The sequence below is a fragment of the Homo sapiens genome, chromosome 12 (genome assembly GCF_000001405.40).
Source record: "Homo sapiens chromosome 12, GRCh38.p14 Primary Assembly".
Taxonomy (NCBI): domain Eukaryota; kingdom Metazoa; phylum Chordata; class Mammalia; order Primates; family Hominidae; genus Homo; species Homo sapiens.
In genome coordinates this window covers 84911160-84928008 of record NC_000012.12, presented here as the reverse complement: position 1 = coordinate 84928008, position 16849 = coordinate 84911160, and the positions used below count along the sequence as shown (strand labels likewise).

At 38.9% G+C, this 16849-nt stretch overlaps 1 protein-coding gene and 1 long non-coding RNA gene across 8 annotated transcripts in view, besides 3 other annotated features; one reads left to right on the top strand and one right to left on the bottom strand.

Moving 5' to 3' along the window:
* The window catches only part of LOC102724680 (uncharacterized), a 79821-nt gene extending 64649 nt beyond the window's left edge, over nt 1–15172 (bottom strand). Inside the window, exons 1-3 of one of the 4 annotated variants that reach the window (XR_945152.3) lie at nt 15105–15172; nt 13147–13252; nt 6695–6836 (exon numbers count right to left, since the gene is read on the bottom strand). This is a non-coding gene — a long non-coding RNA (uncharacterized LOC102724680). Of the gene's footprint in view, nt 1–6694; nt 6837–10760; nt 10863–13146; nt 13253–14392 lie in introns of those variants that run through there. The other 3 variants (XR_945155.3, XR_429164.3, XR_945154.3) reach the window with 3 other exon arrangements.
* Nucleotides 14449–14995: an enhancer, noted in NCBI's record as "H3K27ac hESC enhancer chr12:85306793-85307339 (GRCh37/hg19 assembly coordinates)". NCBI's record gives its function as "activates a minimal SCP1, AML or CMV promoter by ChIP-STARR-seq in naive and primed H9 embryonic stem cells {active_cell/tissue: H9 hESC(naive and primed)}" and the evidence as "EXISTENCE:reporter gene assay evidence [ECO:0000049][PMID:30033119]".
* Nucleotides 14996–15543: an enhancer, noted in NCBI's record as "H3K27ac hESC enhancer chr12:85306245-85306792 (GRCh37/hg19 assembly coordinates)". NCBI's record gives its function as "activates a minimal SCP1, AML or CMV promoter by ChIP-STARR-seq in naive and primed H9 embryonic stem cells {active_cell/tissue: H9 hESC(naive and primed)}" and the evidence as "EXISTENCE:reporter gene assay evidence [ECO:0000049][PMID:30033119]".
* Nucleotides 15210–16849, top strand: part of SLC6A15 (solute carrier family 6 member 15) — a 53309-nt gene continuing 51669 nt past the window's right edge. For all 4 annotated transcript variants that reach the window (NM_001146335.3, NM_182767.6, XM_011538525.4 and 1 more), the window contains exon 1: nt 15210–15486. The gene's annotated coding sequence lies outside the window, so the exon portion shown is untranslated. The remainder of the gene's footprint in view (nt 15487–16849) is intronic.
* Nucleotides 16092–16640: an enhancer, noted in NCBI's record as "H3K27ac hESC enhancer chr12:85305148-85305696 (GRCh37/hg19 assembly coordinates)". NCBI's record gives its function as "activates a minimal SCP1, AML or CMV promoter by ChIP-STARR-seq in primed H9 embryonic stem cells {active_cell/tissue: H9 hESC(primed)}" and the evidence as "EXISTENCE:reporter gene assay evidence [ECO:0000049][PMID:30033119]".

Below are 16849 nucleotides of genomic sequence, written 5' to 3'. Positions count from 1 at the left end.
AATCATTGTATATTTGTATTCATCTGAAAGAATTCTACTCAGCCATAAAAAGAAACGCAAACAACATGGATGAATCAAAAAGCATTATGCTCAGTGAAACTAGCATTAATAAAAGACACTACTCTATTATTTTATTTATACAAAGTTGTAGAGATGTAAAATGTATGTATGTTGGAAAAAGAAAATCTGAAAAGTAGTTGCCTCTGGGTAATGATGTAGGTGTTGACTGGGAAGAGGAAAGAACAAATTTTCTCCAGTGATGACAATGTTTTATATCTTGACAAGTAGTTGGGTTACAGAGTTGTGTCAAGATTCTAAATGATATACTTAAGACTTGTTAACTTTGTCTTATGTAAATTTCATCTCCAAGGGAAAAAAAAGAACTATAAACATATTGAATTCCAGTGAATATGTGCTGAAGTGTTTAGGGAGAAAATGCATTGATGTTTAAAATTTATTTGGAAATGCTTCAATAAAATATGATGGTTTGATGGTTAGGTAGAATGATGAAAAGATGGTCTAATGTGTATAGGAAACTGTTTCTTTACACTCAGTTCCCACCAAAGATGTAAGCTTTCCACATCAACCAATTCTCCAATTTTCTGTGGACTCCAGTTGGGTATCCTACAATTCATTCAATTCTCACACTAACTATCCAAAGTTAGTGCAGACCCCACAGTTTAAAGGCTAAGTCCCACAAGACTTGCTCCCTCTTCAGACACCAGTCACAAGTATTTAGTGCCCAGGGTACTCACTTCTATCTGGCTTGGCTACAAATTGGGCTTCCTACCACCTTCTTCTCATGTTTGAGAATTTGCTATAATAGCCAAAAAAACTCAGGGAAAAATTTAATAATGTTTACAGGCTCGTTGAAAAGGATACTATAAAAGTTACAAATGAACAGCCAGGTGAAGAGGTCCATATCAGGTGAGATCTAGAAGAGTCCCCAGCACAGAAGCTTCTGTCCTGATGGAGTGGGGGTGTGCCCCATGCCAGGTACATGGATGCATCCCCAACCTGGAGGCTGCTGAACTCTATAGTTTAGGAGATTTTATAGGGGTTTCTTCATACAGGCTTGATCAATTATTAACTCAACCTCTAGCCCCTCTCCCTTTCCCAGAAAATAAAGGGTGGGGCTGAAAGTTCCAAGACTCTAATTATGGCTTGGTCTTTCTGGTAACCAGCCCCAACTATGAAGCTATCAGGAGCCCAACAAGAGTTCCCTCATTAGAACAAGAAATCCTTCTGTCAACCAGGAAATGACAAGCAGTTTAGGAGCTTGTGGGGGCAGAGACCAAATATACATCCTCATCATGTCACAATGTGTGATAAACCACATGTAGTAAAATGTTAATGGTAGAATCAAAGTGGTGGGTTATCAGTGTTTGCTAGACAATTCCTTAAACTTTTCTGTACGTTTGAGATTTTTCATAATAAATATTGGAAAAAATGTTAACCACTAGCTTTCGAAATCATATTGTTACTCTAATCTATGATTACTCTCCTGGATGCAAAATGATTGTTTCTCTAAGTCTTTCATTCCATCAACATTTATTAGTTGGCATTTTACTGTAAGAAGCAGCTTTTTTATCCCCCCATAATTATTGATTTATTTATTGTGAGCATGGTCTGGACTTACTCTATTTACTCAGTTATACCACATCACTGTTATTATTAATTTCTAAGCTACTTCTGTTTCCTTTAGATATGTCCCTATCCCGTTTTAATCACTTTTGACACAAGATATTTGCAAGCTCATTTTGTATTGTCTCTGTCCCAGAACTTCACGCAGCCATTCCCTTCAGAAACTTTGATTCTTGTGAATTGAGAATAACATCTGGAAGCCAAGACCAGGCTGCTAGGTATACTCATTGGTAGGTGTGTCTTTGACTTTAGACACTTTCAGTAAAATTTCATGAATTTTATTTTAAAATTGATATATATTATTATTTATAAATATATTTTATTTTTAAATGTATATGTTATATATACAAGTATAAAATTTATAAAATTCTACTGAATTTCCATTCAAATATACAATTTAAATATACATATATATATATATATATACACACACACATACATATATATATATCAGGTTGGAAGTCTTTCAAGCTATTTCCTGTATCCTTTTGAATGTTCCCATCTCTTTTTAATCATTTAAAGCTTAAATTATACCTTTAAGTAATGAACTTATTCTGATACCTGGAATTTTGCTGAGAGAATAGGGGGTTCTTCTTTAAATTTTTTGCCTTCTTTGACTTCTAGCATTGCTTATTTGTATCACTCTTCTCCACCAGTAAAAACTCTGCCTCCTTACAACTTCAGCGTATTTAGATATTATTCAAATCTGTATTGCATTATATGTTTATGATTCAAAAGAAAAGTTTTGAGTAAGACGAACACAGGCAATTAAGTCCTCCTTGGCTCCTCACTGCAATGATCAAAGGGAATTTTAAAGGAGAAATTTCTGAATATAAAGTGAACACTAAAGAAAGATGTTAAAAAACAACTGTGAAGAATTTTAACTAGATATAGCAAATGAAGACATAAAGAGGATTATTTTTCTCCTTGAAAATGTTGTGTCACTTCTAAATAATAAAGATATGCCTTTTTAGAACATCTTAAGTGCACTCTGATTTGTAGAGCAAGGGGTAAAATCTTTAATCAACTATGAGGCAGAGATACCATTTATCTCTTTTCTTTTTCCTGCAGTGGAACTCTATAAATTTGAAAGCAGCTGGACTTCAAACCATAAGCCAATAAGCCAACAAGCCAACAGACAACATACAGTAACTTTCAGAGAAAGCTGAAATAAACGGGCATCTGGGGAAAGTTCCTGACACTGAGTCAGCAACTCTAGGAAACAGGCTGAATACATCATCACTTTGTGACTGGCAAGATCACTTCCTTATTAACAAAGAAAAAAAAAAAGGTAAGAAAGAAGGGAGGGAAGAAAGGAAAATGAATTGAGCATTAATTTAAGGAGTCAGAAATCGAAAAACAAACCAAATCAATAAAAGCAGAAGAACATAACAGAGTTAAAGCCAAATTTAATAAATTTGAAAGTAGGAAAATTGATAAAATATATAAATAAGTTTAAGAGTTGGGTCTTTCACAAAAATAAAATATTCTGAATGTCTTAGCAGTTATGAATATGACCATGTGGTTTTGCTTATATTCTTGCCTCTGCTCTTTGCCTGGACACATAGGCATCTGCTACATGAGCTCCAGAATAAGCCACATTAAGCATGTTTGTTATTCAATAAAGAGGATTAGCAGAGAAATTGATACAAGAAGTTGGTCCTGACATAACACATAACAAATAAGCAAATATCAACAAGAAACTGACACATGTAATATTGGCTCGTGATCAGGTTGTAGATAGATAGTAAACAGTTACTAGAGATGAGAAAAATGGCAACACACATAATGCAATGGTAAAATATTTGGTAAACATGTCACTTGCAATATTTAAAAAACACATAATTGTATCTAATGAACCTGTGGCTCTGGGAAAAGGAGTTTTTAAACAGAATGTTATTAAATGAGCTTTTTGGTATTAGCTGCACTTGATAAGATATCTTCCAAGAAAGAGTTAAGTTCAGGGAAGAATCAGCTCATTTTCAAAATGAGATGAAAGAGAAAAGCAGTTTAGAAATTTCAACACTTGCAGGATTTGGAAATATAAGTTGTTCTCTTCTCTGACTGGTAAAAGTAAAAATGTAATCCCAGTACTTTGGGAGGTCAAGTTGAATGGATCACTGGAGGCCAGGAGTTTGAGACCAGCCTGGCCAACATGGTGAAACCCCGTCTCTACTAAAAATAAAAATAAAAATAAAAATAAAAATAGCCAGGCATGGTGGTGCATACCTATAACCCCAGCCACTCAGGAGGCTTGAGGCACAAGAATCGCTTGAACCCGAGAGGTGAAGGTTGCAGTGAGCCAAGATCGGCCACTGGACTCCAGCCTGGGTGCACAGTAGGTTAAGCAAGCAAACAAGAGGAGGAATGCCCTGGCTTTAAGTTTTTCTCATATAGGGATCTTGTCTATGTAAAGACTAAGCTAAGCTGTGTCCACATGTGGGAGAGCAGGCATTATGACAAATTTATTACTCTATTTATTTAAAGAGAACTAGCCTTGACAGTCTAGTTTGTGACTACATGCAATCATAACTGTTATTATCTGAAGAATATATATTGTTATTGGTTTTGAGAGATCTGGACTTTGCTCTTGTAGGAGTGTGTCCTTGCAGGTATCCTTAGGTTGTTTCTTTTGCTGTAAGCATCTGTGAATATGGGTTGTGATTGGCAAGGAATGTGCTTTGCTAGTCTCAAAATGGAGTTGATTTTAAAATGGCATTACTCTGGCTCTCGTAGGCTCCTGTTGCCCTAACACCATCAGTCTAGTTAGAGAGACTGAGATACTTTAGGCACAAAAACTCTCCATTTCAGATGTGGCCAAAGATAATAATGGAAAGAAAGTGGGAACCCAGGAGTCATGGAGAACAAAAGACAAGTGTGCTACTTCTGGGGAGGAGAACCATAACTTCTAAGTAACATTTCCTTGATCAGGGTAGGAACACTCAACAAAGTTAGCTCAGTGAGACTTAAGAATTGCTATGAACCAATGAATACTCTAAATGGTAGTGCTTATCATAGCTAATCTTGTCCCCATTCTGCCATTAAGTATTGGATTTATATTGTGGGGTTTGGTGGCAAGAGTAGAAGGCTGGACAACTTGGCTTTCCCCCCATACTATGTCTCTAGATTAAGAGCAGCCACAAATGTACTTTACTTGCTTTGGACAATGAAAACTGAAAAATGTGAAACATACTACATCTAAACAGAAGCTCTATTTGTAATTGTGTGGTTTGATTTCTCCTCTTGTTCCTCCCTTCCCGCTTATTCCCTAAGAGAATAAGTGTGTCCTGTAGAAAGTTTGCTCCTTCAGGCAAAGTTCCAGAATGAGAAGACACATGGGGCAAAGTGGAGCAGAGCTGAGTAGAGTTGAGCAAACTACAGTTGCAGGAATGTAATGTGAGTGAGTAATAAATGTGTGTTGTGTTGTAAGGAACTCAGATTTTTTGGTAAATAGTGGTGCAGTAAGGCTGTCTGAGACAAGCTGCCATGGACTGATCCATAGTTAGGTAATTAGATCATAAGGGTGGATACCTCGTGAATGGGATTAGTGTCCTTATAAAAGGGATTCTTGAGTTCGTTTTTCTTGTCTTTGCTCTCTGCCATATGAGGACACAGCAAAAAGTCAGCTATCTGCAAACCAGGAAGCAGTCCCTCACCAGACAGTAGACCTGCCAGCATCTTGCTTTTGAACTCCCAACCTCCAGAACTGTGAGAAATAAATGATTGTTATTTAAGCCACCTAGTCTATGGTAATTTGTTACAGCAACCTGAACTAACCTAAACACAAGCTTACAGGAAAAATTGATTTTTTTCAATATAAAATAATATTCTTGAAGTAATGATTTCTGAAAAGATTTCCAAAATGGCTGTGGAGAAAGAAGAAAAAACTAAATAGGCAGATTTTTTTTAGAAGATCTTGGAGAAAATGTGAAAGAATTACCTCCCAAAGACTACCAGGCCAGATGGCTTTACAAGCTAATTTATTTCAATCTTGCAAAGAAGAGATACTTCCAGGAAGATACATCCATGCTATTCGACAATTTGGTAAAACAAAAAATATCTCCAATTCATTTTGTAAAAATCAGCATTGCCATAATAACAACATCTAACAAAAATAACACACACACACACACAAACACACACTCATGAGAAAAAAATTTCTGTTATAGATGGAAATACTTTACTGGATTGGCTGTTGTCAATTTCTTGCTACCGTTACTTTCTTCTAGTGTAGTGGGCAGTGCATTTCAAAGAATCATCTTCCCTGTAGGTTTTTAGAGCTTGACAATAAGATACATTGGCATGTATTTTGGAAGACAGAAATAGAAGCCACAATTTTCAGGAGGTCATACAACCAGCTTGCTACATTGCTTGAAACTAAAGTTGTTGGTAAATATTTGATTCTCTGGCTGTAGCATTCTAGAATTTTACTCTCCTACATTAATTCCTGCCAAATTTTTGAAGTCCTATTTCCTATGTTAAATATCTTATTCCTGTAACATTTATGGTGGCTCTGCTTTGCTGACCAAACCAGGACTAATAAAAATGTTCATACAAGAATGGTTCTACGGGAAGTGACTTTAAGGAAAGGAGTCTGAAAGTGGTTCCAGAATCTGCTTACATTAAAAGGCTTTCCTGCCAGTAGTAAATGAGATTCTGACAATCTCTCTAGTGTTAGGAAAGAGACTACATAGCAGTGGTAAAACTGAGTCTAAGAAATGTCACCGAAGTATTAGTTGGGGGACTAAACTCAAGCTATAGGAGCTACAAATGCAATATTTGAAACCCAAATGTAGATATTTGATCTTGATTTAAACCGCTTCTGCCCCTTACTTTGAAGCCCATGAATGACATAGCCCCTTTTTCACTACGACAAGCTTCCCTCCTTTATTTCTTATTCTCTAACAGTGAGTAACTTTGCCTTTGTTTATTTTTGTGTTCCTCATGCAACAGAGACTAACATAACCATTTTATTAATTTACAATGTTGTCATTGTAATTATTGGACAATTCCCTGTGGAGGATGTTATAATGAGATTTTACTTACGTACCTTCCCTATAAAGTAAAGTTGGGGGCATCACGAAATCTTTTCCAGTGTTTCCAGCTCTCTGGGTGTTGTTCTTTGGCATGTGTTTTTCAGTAAAGATATACTGAGGTTGAGTAGGGAGGGCCACATGGTAGCATATGTGGGTCTGTGAAGAAGTATACATGGGTATTTATTTGATAGCAAGCAAACTGCCTTGCAATTAATAAACCCTAATAGCTTCTGGCTTAGTATTAGCATCTGTTAAGCTAAAGAGGCAACAGGGAATCAGCAAGGTTTAACTGTAGGTTGGGGGGAATTCTAAGCATAGACTTAGACTCTGCCTTAGCAGAGTCTTGTGTCCCAAACTTGGAATGGGAAGAGTGGTACCCCATAGAACCTGAAGGAATAATATGAGCAAAGACAGTGGACATCTTAGTGATTATCTCTGCAGATACATAACCCAATAATCAGATGATACCAACTCTTTTGCCTGGGACCTATAGGAAGTCCCAAAATCCTTGATATAAAAATATAGGAGTGAGGTGGGGGCACAGAGGATGCTTGGAGATTGCAAGGAGGCCCTAAGAATGAATGAGGTATACTTTTTTTTTTCTTTGCAGATAAATTGTATGTGAGTTCAGAGTTAGAAATTAAGTTAATTTATAGAAATAAGAGTTGCAGCTACAGTGGCTCCCCTTACCCACAGTTTTATCAGTTTTAAATTGCACTCCCTTCTGAGTAGTGTGATGAAATCTTGTTCTGTACCACACCATCCTGCCTAGGACATGAATCATTCCTTTGTCCAGATTCTTCATGCTGTAGACACTACCTGCCCATTAGTCACTTAGTATCAGCCTTGGTTATCAGATAGAATATCATGAGATGGCAATGCTTGTGTTCAATTCACCCTTATTTGACTTCATAATGGCCCCAAAGTGCAAGAGTAGTGACGCTAGCAATTTGGATATGCCAGAGGAAAGGAGTAAAGTGCTTTCTTTAAGTAAAATGTGAGGCTGTGAGTAGTGATGCAGGCCTGTAGTCCCAGCTAGCTATTCAGGAGACGGAGGCAGAATAATTGCTTGAGCCCAGGAGTTTGAGGCTACAGTGAGCTATAATTGAACCAAGGCACTCCAGCCTGGGCAACAGAATGAGATTCTGTCTCAGTAATTAAAAAATAAAAATAAAAATATGAAAGCTCTCAATACGAAAAGAAGAAACAATCGTATGCTGAGGTTGCTAAGATTTACATTAAGAATAATTCTTCTATCTGTGTCATTGTGAAAAAAAATAGACTTGTGCTGGTTTTGCCATAGCACTTCAAACTGCAAAAGTTACAGCCACAGTGCATAATAAGTGCTTAGATAAGATGGAAAAGGCATCAAATTTGTGGATAAAAGACCTTAAAAGAAACATGTTCCAACTGTTTGGCAATCCAGTTTGGTACTGTTCGTGATTTCAAGCATCCATGGAAAGTCTTAGAACATATTCTCCCAGGATAAAGGGAGACTACTGTACTGCTGAATGTGGTCTGATAATCCAAGGGCATTTACCTACTGAGGTTCTAGCATATGTCAAATTCAGATTTGGGAGGTGGGGGAGTAAATATTTACTACCCGCATAAAATTACGCATGCCAAATCCCTGTACACCTAGAGAATTCCAAATTCTCTAGGTCTAAAGCCAACTTCCAAATTATTAGACTAGTGACCAAATTATTAGACTAGTCCACCCCTATTATATTGCTTGTGGTGGGGAGGGGGGAAGGATGAGATACAGAAATAACACTGGGGGGTGGCCAGAGTTCACCATTACTCAGGGATGATGCTCTTCATTCATTTGAGTTCTCATGACTCACGATTCCACCAACAGCTGAGAAAGCCAGGCCCAAACATCACCATTTAATTATATGCTAGACCATCAAACTTTTTCTCAATGACTCAAACTCTTCAGTTCCTAGTATCCAAGGTAGCTATACTCCCTGTAGAATGTATTTTCATACATGAAGTGTAGGAGATATTTTATTTGTTCATGTTTTTGAGTGTTTAAAATTTTTTTTCCCTTTTGCTGTTTTTCTGTTAATAGTGCTTTCTTTCATTGGGAGAAGTTTATGCCACTCTGATCATATGGAAAAACGAACTTCATTTCTGAAGCCACCTTGGTTGGCTCAGGTGTAGGAAAGTGACCCAACATAGCCAAAGTCTTCCCTGGGAGGTATAGAAGTCAAAGAAGGAGGAGAAGGAGAATAAGGAGAAGGAGAAGAAGGAGAAGTAGATGGAGAAGGAAGGGAAGGGGAAGACAAAGAAGGAGGAAGAGGAGGAGGAGGAGGAAAAAGAAAAAGAAAGAAAACAAACCAACATCCCACATTTTTTTTTAATCTAAAATTTTTTTAAAAAAACTAAATCTAGGCCAGGCATGGTGGCTCATGCCTGTAATCCCAGCACTTTGGGAGCCTGAGGCGGGAGGATCACCTGAGATCAGGAGTTCGAAACCAGCCTGACCCACATGGTGAAACCCTTTCTCTACTGAAAATACAAAATTAGCCGGGTGTGGTGGCATATGCCCATAATCCCAGCTACTCAGGAGGCTGAGACAGGAGAATTGCTTGAAACCGGGGGGCGAAGGTTGCAGTGAGCTGAAATCGCGCCATTGCACTCCAGCCTGGGCAACAAGAGCAAAAATCCTTTTCAAAACAAACAAACAAATAAAAAACTAAATCCAGTTGGAATAGGATTATGCAATCATATGTGTCTTAAAGGTCTATGCCGCATATTTGAAGATTTGAAATCCACAATTAATAAGCTGGATTTAACAAATAAAACATACATACTCTGGAAAACAACATAGATAATGTAAATGAAAGTGAACAAGTACTAGGCCACAAAGAATGTCTCAACAAATCCAACAGAATTGATATCACAAATATTAAGTTTTATGACTTAAATGTAACTATAAGTAATAAACAGTAAAAAAGTTTAAAATATGCTCATAAATTAAGCAAATAAGAATTGAAATTATGGTTATTATTTTTAGGGCGGCCTCTTCAAGCCAGAATAGGTTCAGAGAGGCTCCTGAAATTATTTTAAATGAACACTTAAAGTATTATATAACCAAAATGTTTAGGTTGCAGCTAAAGCTATGCTTATAAAATAAATTATAACCTTGAAGCAATGTAGAAATTAAAATGTACTATATTTGTTCAAATTCAAAACCTAGGAAAAGACTGAACTCAAAGAAAGTAGGAGAAATATATAAATAACACAAGAAAAGAAATTTACAGAAAATAAAAAATTATAACACCAATAATATCAATAGTTGTTTCTTTGAAAAGACTCATAGATAATGTTTAGCATTTAACAGATTGAAAGAGATATGAAGAAAAGGTTGAAACAAAACCTATGGAGAAGTTCATATATCTATAAATGTAATCTAGGATTTAAAATTCAAAAGAAAATAGTACAAAAATTATTGAAGCACTTTTAAAAATTAGGTGAAATGAACACTTTAAAAGAAATGAATTGCCAACATTTACTCATTTACTCGAGAAGAACTAGTTAACTTGAATAGACCAATAGAAAAACTCAATAAATAATAAAACATATTGCTGGGTACTGTGGTTCACAACTGTAATCTTGGTATATTTAGAGGCCAAGATGGAAGGATTGCTTGAGCACAGGAGTTGAAGACCAACCTGGGCAACATGGTGAGACCCTGTCTCTAGAAAAATAAATATTAGGCCGGGTGCGGTGGCTCACACCTGTAATCCCAGCACTTTGGGAGGCCGAGGCAGGCAGATCATGAGGTCAGGAGTTTGAGACCAGTCTGGGCAATATAGTGAAACCCCGTCTCTACTGAAAATACAAAAAAATTAGTCAGGCATGGTGATGTGTAATCCCAGCTACTCGGGAGGCTGAGGCAGGAGAACTGCATGAACCCGGGAGGCGAAGGTTACAGTGAGCCGAGATCGCGTCACTGCACTCTAGCCTGGGTGACAGAACGAGACTCTGTCTCAAAAAATAATAATAATAAATAATAATAAATAAACATGAAAAAATTAACTGGGCATGGTGGCATGCACCTGTAGTCTCGGCTACCTGGGAAGCTGGGGTGGGAGGTTCACTTGAGCCTGAGAGGTTGAGGCTGCAGTGAGCTGTGACTCCAACACTGCATTCCAGTCTGGATGACAGAGCCAGGCCCTGTCTCAAAAGAAAAAAAAAAAAGCATAAATAAGAAATCTTTATCTTACCACTTTCCTACTTTCCTTGATTTCTCAGGTGAGTAAGAAACAATGTCTATATCATAAAAGGGTATTTGAGAGACTAGAAGTGTAAGCTTTGGATCTCATTTTACAGTGCTAGAATAACCTTATAAGGAGAATATAAATCACTTATCAAATACATTTATGTGTATAGATGAAAAACTCTATAAAAATATGAAAAAATTGGGTCCATCAATTTATATAAAGAAGAATAGTATCTCATAATCAAGTAGGATTTATTCCAGGGATGCAAGCATGGTTCAATAACAGAAAATCTATGAATATGAATTTTATAAAATAAATTAAATTGTAAAAACCATAAGCTTGTCTCTACGGAGTAAGACATATTTGCAATATCTGGGTCTTCTTTCTCTTCCTCAAACATATCAGTTAAATTCTTTTTTTAGGGTCTATTCACTGATCCTACAATCTTTTTAAACTGACTGAAAAGACCCTTTTCACTGACCTCTACCTGGAACTTACTCCTATCTCCTTATATCTACAAGGCTAACTCCTGCAAATCCTTCGTGTCCTTGCACCAGTAAAATCTCAATGAGACCTACCCTGACCACTCTATTTAAAATCTAACTCTACCCTCTTTCCTGGGACCCTCCTCAAAGTCAGGGGAACATAAACACAGGGGTCTTTTCACCATGTACAAGTTCATAGATTGAAATGTATTCAATGAGCAAGTATCACTTTTGTATTCAAATTATATTTTAGAAGTACGTATAAAAATCATGGAGCCTATAGAATCTGTATATACCAATGAGATTGTGCAGCAAATAAAAGGCACCTCATATACTTTATACAAAACAAATACCATTAAATATTTTGGTTTCGGATATTTAAGTAGCTATATAGACTAATGCTGAGCATAGTACCTGACACACATAAAATGTTTTAGAGACATAGTTTGCTATTATATTAAACATTATAATAAAAGGGCAACTTAAAAACTTAGTGGTTATAATCAGTTTACAGAGGTAGGGGGTGCATTTCTCTGTCAAAAAAATGACAGCTTGTGTTGGTATTTTTACTCGCCAGGGCCATTTAGGCTTTATCTTCAAAGTGCAGAAACAGTAAAATTCAATCATTTCCTACATTGTCTTGATTGCTTTACTATCTTAGTCAATTAGTTAAAAAATTGATTTGATTACTTTGACATTTGCCAATTCAGTTAACCCATCCTCTACCCACTGAGAAATCAGAGAACCTACTTTCCTTGCATCTACCTCTCAGTTCTTCATCAGTAGTATGAATAGAACAGAATATTCAGTGGATATTTTGGGCTTGTGCAGACTTTGTTTTCATAAAAATTTGGAGACCATATATCAAATGACATTTGGCATGGAGGACGTTAGAATAAAAAGTTTTATTAAAATGCAAAAAAAAAATCCTCACAATATACTCTACTGCCCATATAGCAATATAAGCAAATGAATTAATGTAATCTTAGGATGTGAATTGATTTCAATGTTTTTCTTTAGTATTGTAGTTTTAAAATCATCTTTTAGTAAATGTTTGAATTATTTTTCTGAACTCTAGTGCTACATCTTTGGAAGTTTTTACATAATATTGTTATTCTAAAGGATTTGGTTTAAGAAATAAGGTAGAAAGGCTTGGTGAGTCAGATTCCTTCTCTCCTCTAGTCAAAGAGAATACTCTTTTCCTTCATGTGATCTTTTATCAAATTTTAAAAATAATAAGTGTAACATTAATTGCTTAAAAGTAGGTATCAATTTCAGAAAGTGATTTAGATAGGGCAGGTTTTTATTTTTACAATATCTAACAGATGCCTTTTGACGGTATGACCTTGGACAATCAAAGCTTCAGTTTCTTTTCTGGCAATGTTTTGTAAAAACTAGACCTACATCACAGGCTTGGTGTAAGAATTAAGAAGTATATATTCATAAAATATAGAAATTATTCTGTACATTGCAAAGACACATAGTTAACATTAATCAATCCTTGTTAATATTATTAAATACAGTGTGGCTGGAAGCACTAGTCTCCCTTAACTTGTAGTTAATTCTTCCAAGTTCTGTTTTTTTCCTTTCTGTGTGCTGCCTCTTCCTCCCACACCAATCCCATGTTGGCCATTTTGCCCTATGGTGACAGAGAAAGAACTCTGTAATCATTACCCTAAAATATATTAGCAATTGAATTTTAAATCTTTGAAGACTCATTGTTGTTAAATTTTAAAAATGAATACATTTTACCTTTGGCTAGGGTTCCCAGACTCTCCTTTTGAGGTCTCTCCATTCTTCATCTATTTATTGTTTTCAAAGTTGCCTACCACTTGTGTTGAGATTCCACCCTTTCCTCCTGTTAAAATAGATAATTTGTTAAAGGGTTACAGGATAGTATAAAAGCACATGAAGTTTGAGGCCAGCATATCTGAATTTATTTCTCCATTCTGTCATTGAACAAGTTTTCTGACTTTTTGCAATTTTTTTTGAGTATCACCTCTCTCTAATCTCTAAATTAGGAAAAATCACCTCATTAATTAGTTGAGAGGATTAAATAAGATATTATTAAGCCCCAGGTACTTAGTGGGAAGCTTAAAACAATAGTTGCTTTCTCCTACTTCTCTTCATTGGCATTGAGACATAAATTAGTATCAGTCATTATGGAGGGCATCGCTCTACAAATATTTTGTGACCTATGCATATGTATTGGAATTAGGTATCAGACACTAGTGAAAAAGCGTGGGAGAGAAATAATTTTCGTACTTCTTGGTACTACCGTAAACGATTTCTGCCAGCATATGGATAACTTTGTTTCCCACAGATAATCCTAATCCTGATCATGGTGGACACAGCTCTCCTTATTTTCCTAAAATTTTCTCAGTTGTTATTGATAATGTTGGTACTGTATTTCAGTTTCTTTATATATCAACATTAAATATTTGCCTGTCACCAAAATGTGAAGTAAAAAGCAAAAAAAGTCCTATAAAAGGTTTATTTTGACTGTTTTTATTTTTTCACGTGGCGCATCTATCAAAGAGCATTTATTTACTCATGGCAGGGGAGGCGTATCAGGGAATCAAATCTAATTTAATTTCTTAACTTTTAATTTTTCAAAGTTGGGATTGGAAGAGAGGCTGAGAAAAAACTCTCTTGGCTGTTTTAAAAGCTAAGGATTAGTAGCAATGTTCTGACCTGAAATTTAGGTCTTGTGATTTCTTTCCAAGAGATTTTTCACTGCATGAAAAACCTGTTTGCAATGGCCTTTTTAATTTAATTCAATCTTAATTGGATACGAACCGTAAAAATCTAAGGGATTGTTAAAAGGCCTAAAAGTGCACAAAAGTAGTTTTTAAGAGTAATATTAATAATCTGGAAGTGAAAAATTAACTTTGCTAAATTACTGAACCTTTCTACCTAGCTTCTAGGTTCATTTTGTATTTCTTTCAAATTTTGAACGTTTCAAGGACGGAAAATTTCATCCTTAGAGCATACGCACTGTTTAGGGGACGGTTCAGCCATTTTCAAAAGGAGGCTAAGCTTTGTGTTCAGAGGTGTATATTTTAGGAATTCTCCACGTGGCTTAATTACGAGCATGCCTTGATTGTTAGCAGAGGTAAGTCAGGCTTCATCTTGTAATGAGACCCCTTGGAAAAAAGTCTGCTGCTGAGGCACCAACACAGGGTGGGTGAGGGCCAGCTTTCTAAAACGGCCTTTCATAACCTGGCGAGAATCACTGAGCGCTATGAGGCCACCGCCTGACGGAGAAGCCAATGCCCAGAGGCTTTTTCTTTCGCAAGAGATGTAAATGGCCGGCTTGGGGGAATAGGTAGGGAAAAGGGTTCTTTGGGTCACCCATTTTTTCTAGTCCCATTACTGACTCTTGGAGAATATTCAGATGGTGCCAGGTAGCACCATGCCTATTATTATTCTCACTGAGACAAAAGTCAGCGGCTGGTAACTGGTGTCCATTCTTTCGCTTGAGTGGGTTGGAGAAAGACGGCATGGCTGGAGGAATTTGTTTTGTTTTGCTTTGGAGCGGGCTTCCTCAGTTGCATCCTGCATCGGGCGGGCACAGCCCCGGGCTCTGGGAAGACGCCGCTCGGCAGCCGCAGTGGCCGCTGCATCAATGGGTTTTGGGGCAGGGAGGTGCGGAGCCCAGCCTGCGCTCCTGGCTACCCCTCCGCGCCCCGCCGCCGCCCACAGCCTACCCTTCTCCTCTGCAGCCGGTAGGCGGCCGTAACACGGGCGGGCCGAGCACGTGGGCGCCTCCGTCACACCCTCACACATACACACACGCGCGCGCGCACACACACATACGCATGTACACGCGCACCCGCACCCGCGCGCCTGTATCCCGTGCTGTTTCCCTGGCAGACACACAGGCGCTCACGAGTCTCTCCTTGCCAGCCTGCAGGGCGGCGACCCCCAAAACCCAGCTCCGGGTCCCAACCTAGGCAAGAAGCTGCTTCTCTGCCAACAGCTCCTCTTCGGCCTCCGTCACAGCCACCTGGACCCTACCCTTTCGCGACTGCTGCTGCTGCTGCCCGGACGTGGAAGCAGCAAGAGGCGCTTGGTCAAGACACACTGACGGTAATGGCAAGCGCCTACGCTAAGGGCACAACTGGGGGTGAGGTGGGGCTCGCCATTAGCCACCCAGGAGCCTGGGCACCAGCACCGGGAACGAATTGATGGATGGATGCCGGGAAGGACTCGCTGCGTCCTGGGGTGGGAGGAGGGAGGGCAGCTCAAAAGCCCTGGGAGGGAGAAGCTGGGCTGGGCGGGCAACCGTCTAACTCTGCATCTCTGTACAATCAGGGTGGGGGGCGACAGGCTGCACATGTAAGGGGAAGCACATGGGTTGAAACGTGCCGCCATCCTTTCTTCCCGTCGTGGAAATTGCCCACAGCATCCCCAGAGACCTACTCGTTTCCAAGCCAAGTCGGGGTTGGTTGAAGGGTGGGGTCCAACACGGGAAAGTCCAAGAGGAAAGTTGGGAGGGTTGGGGCAGAGAGAGACGCGAGGTGAATTGGAAGCTAAACCTCGTGCAGGTGGGCGATGGGGCGGGGAGAGCAGAGAGCTTTATTCCTCATTCGCTTCCGTTCGCTTTAGCAAAGGCAGAAGGCGACTACCGAGGACAGAGTGTTTTCACGTGACCACAGTTCCCCTTTGCTTGAGGTATCCTGTGATAAATGGCCCGAAAGGGGGCCTTTCGCCGTACGAAAGGCACGTGGCTGCTGGAGAAATCACGGCTCCTGTGTTTCTGCGCATCCTGGAATTTGAGAGTGTGGCGGTGAGGGTGGTGCTGCTGGGACTGTAAGAAGATGGGAAGCAGTTAGAAACCCAGATCGTTTCTACCTTTCTTTCACTAGGCTGGTCTGTGTGTGACTGGGAAGAAGACGGTATTGAGTACAGGGAAATCCTTGCACTCTAACGTAGCGCACCAACTGGATACATAAGAATGAATCAAGACGCCCGAGGCGTTCGGGAACAGGCATGACCCACCCAGTGGCACAGGCTGCGGGAACGGGAATTATTTTTCCTGAGCTGAGAAGCAGCCTTTGATGTGCGTTTTAGGAAGCAAAGCCCCCAGGCTCGCGCTCTCCAGCGTCCCGCTTTCCCTTTCCATCCTCCTCCCTAGCTGGGAAAGGCTGGAGTAAGACGGGGCGGGGTCCGGACTCCGGCGCAGTGACGTAAGCAGTGTTTGGGTGCTTATGCAAATAAGTCTGCGACGGTTTCTTCTGGTCTTGCCGTTTTCCCCTCCAGATCTTATAGGTAGACCCAATCTTAGTCTGCACCATCCTTGCGGTTCACTACTTAAGACGTATGGGAGAAATGAAGGATTTGCTTTATATGCTGCTTTGGGGCTCCTCATCGCCCATGCTGTAAAAGCTATTTTCTACCTGTCAATGCCTGATTGCTTTTCTGCTGTGCCAGCAACAAAGTGTTTGTTTTG